At 38.8% G+C, this 6786-nt stretch overlaps 2 annotated features.

Annotated features, from left to right (window-relative positions):
* Positions 1860-3059: an enhancer, noted in NCBI's record as "BRD4-independent group 4 enhancer chr13:72741998-72743197 (GRCh37/hg19 assembly coordinates)". NCBI's record gives its function as "activates an origin of replication core promoter dependent on BRD2, P300/CBP, MED14 and CDK7 cofactors, and independent of BRD4, by STARR-seq in HCT116 cells {active_cell/tissue: HCT116}" and the evidence as "EXISTENCE:reporter gene assay evidence [ECO:0000049][PMID:35650434]".
* Positions 4040-5239: an enhancer, noted in NCBI's record as "CDK7 strongly-dependent group 2 enhancer chr13:72744178-72745377 (GRCh37/hg19 assembly coordinates)". NCBI's record gives its function as "activates an origin of replication core promoter dependent on BRD2, BRD4, P300/CBP, MED14 and CDK7 cofactors, with strong dependence on CDK7, by STARR-seq in HCT116 cells {active_cell/tissue: HCT116}" and the evidence as "EXISTENCE:reporter gene assay evidence [ECO:0000049][PMID:35650434]".

The following is a 6786-nucleotide window of genomic DNA, read 5'->3' on the forward strand; positions in this document are numbered from 1 at the left end:
TTAAAACGGTTAAAGCTATATTGGAGTGGTTAGCAACCTGATAGAAATTGTTCGATTTTCCCACATGTACACAATATGTCCAGATATGCGTGGTCATACATAAATTGACTGGGTTTGCCACATTGTATATTGGCCATTACAGTGAAAGAAGATAAAGGACAACCTAGATAGATTTCCTGTTAGCTGATTCTAAACTGTCTGCAAATATTTTAAAAATTCAGTTTACAAGAATTACCATGATCATAATCTTGTCACTTGTTTTTCATTTTCTCTTTCATTCCCTGAGGTCTGTGACTCAGCACAAAGTACCTAGACTCCTACCCACCATAAATGTATTGACTTGGAGTAATTGTTTGTACACATCTCTCACGTTTACTCGTTGATCAAGAAATTTCCTTGGGGTTGAGGGATTCCCTGAGTAGTATCTAGCTATATGAGGTAGAAATGTTGTCACCAATAGTTCTGAGTCTGTGTATTTTTAACTTGTGTGAGTTTTAGCTGAGTCACTTGCCCTGGGGAAGAGACAGGAAAATGAAAAGCAAACAGAAGGATAATTAATAATAGTGGGAATTCTTACAAGCACTGGAAAAAAAAAAAGAATTTTGGATTATTTAGAGGAGATGTAATGAAACTAGCCCTTCATTCTTTCATGCTTTAGTATAATGTGTGTACAGGTGTGGTGTCCATCTTTCAGGCTTGTAAACATTTTAGCACATGCTCTTTGCATAATATATCAGCACTATAAGAAAAATGTAAACTTCTGGCTTTTAGAAGGTGGCAGACTAAAGAAGCAACATTCAGAGGCAGTTCTAATTTTTACTGTCACTGTGTGCCCGGCATTACGTTGGCTGTTGTCATGTACGTCATTTCATTTATCCCTTACAATGACCTTTTGATATCTGATTATCATGCTCCCACTTTTCAAAAGAGGAAACAGTACTACTCTAATTTGGATTTGGTTTTTCCCAGGCAGTGGTGCCCTTCATTGAAGCTCAACATGTTACATTGTCAAGACTGCAAAAATATAAAATACTTTATCTGAAAATTAGGAAAACTATACAAAAAAACAGGAAAACTTCGCTTTTAGTAAAGGAGCCAAAGCACAGACATAATTCTTCTCTTCATTCACAGCAAAGTCTGCCTGCCTGCAAATAAAGAAATTCATAAATAGAAAAGCAATATTCATTCTTCATCCCCTCTTCCTCCACTTTAAGATACTGTGTTCATTCTCCTATGCATGCAGCAGTCCCTCAATCAAGGATTAATAAGAGAGGAATCTAATTGAGAGATTCACAAATGCCAATGTTCAAACTGAAGATAAACCTGCCTATCAGACTGGGAGTGCAGCAGCGGGAGGGAGGGAGGTTATACTGTAAAGCTTCTTGCTCTATCTTGTCTACACTTGTGCTGGGAAAGCTTGGCTCAGAGCTCTAAGGCACAGGTGTCTTTATCTTTCTTTACACAAAAATAGCAACCAAAAGCAACTTTATTTTCTTCAGAACTTGCTTCTTACCATCCATCACCATGTGTTTGCTGTTACCTAGATTAGGAAAGCCAGGATCTTTAGTTGGCTTAGCTTGGCACATTTACCTTGGAGGAGGCTGAAATATTCTCAGCTATTCTAGAGACTTGATTTGCCTAGGTACTTCCAGACTCTATAGGAGGACAAATTAAGTGGTATTGGTAGCAGTTGCCAAGGAGCCTAAACACCTGTGATTGGAAACTGCTAGACTGAAGTAATATGAGATGGCAGTAGTTCCCCAGAAGACACACCTAAGGACCGAAAATGGAGTCTAAGTGAAAGGAGAGGTACAGGAGATTCTAGGCCTGCCCCAGGACAGGCAAAGAGGACCGGCTAGGAAGGTGATGTATGGGCTTTTACAGTGTTTGCTTCCCAAACACAGCTCTAGGGGATCTGAATAAAATCCTTGAAAGAACAGAATAAAATTACATCATCAAGAGATTTTAGTGCACAGATTTTATGAACTACCTTGCACCATCCTGGATGAGTTATGATGTCCAGCTGCAAAGGGTGTGACCAGATATATGGCAGAACGGAAGGTTATCAGAAATGATCCAAATACCATTTTCCTGAGATGGTTGACCAGAAAAACAGACTGCAGCCAGTGCTGAGAGCTGCTAGTGAGAGCCCTATTAGATGCCATCAACTCCAAGACATATGGCTAACAGTGAGCCACAAGAGGAGAGCCCAGCCCAGAATGCTGCATTTCTCAGAGCTTCCTAGGAGATCCTAAGCCCCACACCTCAAGCATGAAAATAACGGAAAATCTTGAATCCCTTCAAGGGAAATTCCAGGCACCTAGCTAGCTCTGAAAAGTAAATGAGTTACTTGATAAGCAAGAAGGTAAGGGTAGCATGAAACAATGGCCAAGGAAGTTAGAATCATGGGAAGTTTAGTTTCCCTACAGAAACTAAAGATAACATCTTAGCATATGTCCCTGAGTTGTTTTTCAGAAACCCACACCCCCAACTAACAGACCTGCTGGCATGTGGACCTAAGATAAGGGCGATAAAAGAAAAACTTCAGCTGAATTAAATTTAAAGGAGTTTAATTGAGCAATGAATGATTCGCGAAATGGGCAGCCCCTAGAATCACAGCAGATTTACAGAGACTCCAGTGCAGCCACGTGGTGGAAGAAGATTTATAGACATAAAAAGGGAACGACCTACAGAAATGAGAAGTGAGGTACAGAACAACTAGATTGGTTATAGCTCAGCCTTTGCCTTATTTGAACACAGTTTGAACACTCAGCAGGGTATGAGTGGTTGAAGTAAGGCCGCTAGGATTGGCCAAGTCTCAGCTATTGTTACAGGCGCACATTACTAAGTTAAGTTTTCAATCTTGTCTGCCTATTAGCTAGGTTGCAGTTGATTCACAAGGACTCAAATATAGAAGTAAGGAGTCCTTCTCCGTACTTATATATAGATGTATGGAGTACTTCTCAGGCCATATTTAGTTCGCGTTAACAAGGGAAAACTAAGGACTGAACTCTGACCACTATTCTTTGTTCTAAATTTCTTCCAGAGGGGCCTGGATGAGGTCACACCCATGAGCCAGAGCTAAGGTTCTTTTCATCTGACCCCAAATTTTTAGACAAAACTTTCCCTCCTTAACCAATTGCAAATAAGAAAATCTTTGAACTCACCTATGACCTGTGGACTCCTACCTTGAGACGTCTTACCCTTTTAGGTCAAACCAATGGATAGTCTGTAGGTACTGATTTATGACTTTGCCTGCAACCTCTGCCTCCCGGCCTTTCAAAACCCTTACCTGTAAGCCATGAGGGAGTTCAGGTCCTAAGTATTAGCTGTCCGATTTTTCTTGCTTGGTGCCCTGCAATAAATGCTTCACTTTCTCTTGCTGCAATCCTGATGTCAGTGTTTGGTTTTCCTGTGCCGGGTGTGTGAACCCAAGTTCAGTTCAGTAACACCTATCATTCCACTGTGTGTCACCCTGTAGGATCAAGTGATTTGACCACTACTATCCACTTGATATCTTTGGGAGGGTAGAGATAGCTTACTGTTTGTCATATTCTTTCTCAGGAGAGAGAATAATAATTATTGTTCAGATTCTGGAACAAACTCCAACCAATTAAGGATAGTTCTAGCATTGAATCGAACCTGGAGGATTGGTCCAGGGGAAAAATGGTGTTACTAACAATTCTAACTAAAGATTTGTTTTAATGTAATTTTAAAATCTTTTTTCTTCAAATCTTGACTCTTTGGATTATCTCTATTAATTGGTAACACCAACTACGACATGAAATAGGATGATTCTGTCTTACTTTCTCAGCCAATTTGGTGTTTGAATCATAGTCTGAACGTTATATAAGAGGTAGGTATATTACAAAAATTGTCTAATTCTATTTGTCTAATTGTCTGTTCAAGTCTAATGAACGATTTATTCAATTAACATTCACAATTGAAAAGAAAAAGAACTACTGTGGAAAAAATGAAAAGAAATCGATGGGGGAAGCTAAATAATAACATCAATACATTTGTTGGTTTTCTTTTTTCATTTTCCTGTTAAATTCAATGCCCTCCAAGACTTTCATACAAAAGAAAGAAAGTGAATATTGAATCAGGGGAATTTTTAAATTATGTAAAATTTCTGCCTATAATAGTCATGTGTGGGGAAAGGTATATTATAAAACTTTTTTAAAAGGTTATTATGATTATTATTCCTGGAAACCATGTGCTATAGAAAAGTTAAATTTGTCATTCTCAGAAGCCAGTTCCACCAGCAGGAGGATTTACATTGTAATTTTTAATTTTTTATTTTTTAGCAAAAGATATTGTGCTAGGACTCTAGCTGCTCTGGACATTTTCCTAGAATTTGAGGTTTGAAGTTGGAAGAGATGGAGGAAGAAGTTTACAATCATGACACTCTGAACCACCAATGGCAAAGCAGAACAAACAGAAATGAATGCTGGGTGCCAGAAGGATTGTTGATTTGTTCTTGCCTGATACTCACAGTCCTGGGGACAGTTAAGGGGATGTTCCTGTAAGGTTCCTGTATTGGTTCGAACCCGAGAGCGCGCCAACAGACAACAGCAGGCAATGTGGAGCAACATGCTGTTTTAATGAGCGCCTGGGTGCAGGCGGGTTAAGGCCTAAAATGGCGTCAGCAGCAAGTGAGGACAGGGCAAAGATTTTATAGTCCCCTGTAAACGTGAAGTGCCCTAGTCATGTAACTGCTACGTTGTACCCGGATGCCCTCTTTCTGGATCTTTAGGGGCACATGTCTTCCGGCCAGCTCTCTTCCTGCTTCTGCTATCTTGCTGGTGCACGCTGCTGAGGCAAGCTGCCTTGCGACTTGCGGCTGGACCTGAGAAGGGAGGAGTTACTCATCCCCTTAAGCTTTCAGGCCCCGGGGCAGAATCTTACAGTTACCAGTCTATAAAAGAGACTTTAGTGAAGTTCCAAGACACTAACTAGTTTGAGAACAGCAAGAAGTTCAGTTCCAGCATAGGACTAATAGGAAGTAGCTAGGTTATAAAGCTTTAGAAGTTCAAGAATAAACACAATGAGAGGCTTCAGTAGCTATGAGGACAAGTTTGGTAGACCTGAAGAAAAACCTTGAAAACCCAAATGACCTTGACTTGACATTTCCATAGCTGCAATGGTGAGCCAGCATAAGCGCCTGAGCATTCCTTATGACACATTAACTAATACTCTCTTCCTTTATTCACATACGAAAAGTCCTTCTTCCTATGTTAGGTGCAGGAGACACTGCCTAACACCCAGTTTTGTTTCTGAAAACCCTTGGGGTAGGATCATTTGTGGTTCAAATACTTCTGGGATCAAAAAAAATGTTATTGCACTGTGGCTGAGAGTGACTCTATGAAAGTCTTTGTAAATGTTTGCACAAACACTAAAATGTTTATACAAATAAAGTAATATTAGAGACTACTGTATATTTCATTTCTTGCTCCTGAGAAATAGTCTAGCTTCTGCCTTCCCAGAACTTTAAAATGCTTATAAATTATTTTGCTTTATTTCATGAAGTTGTATTCTCACAGATATTTTTTTCTACTCTGGTCTCCAAACCAAACATTAACGCCTTCCTAGTTTTAAGATTCAGAAGTGTTGACTGCTGCCTCCAAATCCCAGAAATGCAAAGTAATTTGGATGCTTGAGATTTAACAAAGCTTTGGGTAACCTCTGTTTAACTTTCCTGACGTGCTGAAAGATATTTCTCAAATTCTCTCTCTAAAGAGACTCCCCTAACAGCTCAAGCCCCTTCTGCAAACAGTTCAGCTCCAGGAATATATTAAAAGGCCCAGTTTTTTAGGTTCCTTTAGTTTTCTTTATATGTCCTAAGGCAAAAATCTTTAACCATTTCCTTTGAGGTGGGGCTTACTGTTCTTCTTTTACTCTTCCTAGTACTCACTTCCGTGTCTCTCTGTTATCAATAGAAGAAATTCAAAAGTTTCATATACTGGAGATAAAATTCTCATTGTTGAGTAAATGATTTGCTGGGTTCAATAGAATTTGCTTAAGAGAAACTCAGAGCTTTGAAGAGTTTGCTGTATTAGCAGAGTCACATCTTACTCAGAGACTGAGATCCAAAATCATCACACACAATAAATACTGCCTGTAGTCTAAATTAACTTCAAAATCTCTTAAGTTCTCCAAAAAAGAGAATATTGTACATTTCATGGTGTGTCTGTCATATCTAGCTCTGGAACACTGCTGGACACCCAGTGAGTCAGTTGGCTAACATTTAGGCCCCATGTTGAAACGAAAGCACAGAGAATTGAAATTCTTCAAGATCAATGTCTTTACAATGTGGGAGGTATCCTGATTCTAGAGAATAAGTTAGTGGTGGGTACTCCTGCTTAGAGGTTTAGATTCCTTTGTAGACTACAGCAAGACACAATGGAAACTATGGCAAATCTAAGAACTTTCTTTGGAAGGTTAAATTAAGCTCTAGGCTCAGAAGTTGACCCGAGCAATTCAACCTCAGTGTTCACTGACTCAACATCACTTCAATGACATTCCGATCAAATTTTCCCTATGGTGAAGAAAACTCAGAATAGTATTTCAGTAATATTCACAAAGTTAACTTAAAATCTCCATAATTCAGGTAAAAATAATTTATTAGATATTTTAAGTGGTTTATTTTTCAAATGACAGTTTTTAAAAATCGCTTTCCAGTAAAAAGTAAAAGACTCTTATTGTACTCAACGAGCTATAAATATCTTGTCTTTTTCTTTCTCTAAATTATAATTTCCATTTGTTTAACATCTAATTTAGTTCTAT

This window comes from Homo sapiens, chromosome 13, assembly GCF_000001405.40.
Source record: "Homo sapiens chromosome 13, GRCh38.p14 Primary Assembly".
NCBI lineage: Eukaryota > Metazoa > Chordata > Mammalia > Primates > Hominidae > Homo > Homo sapiens.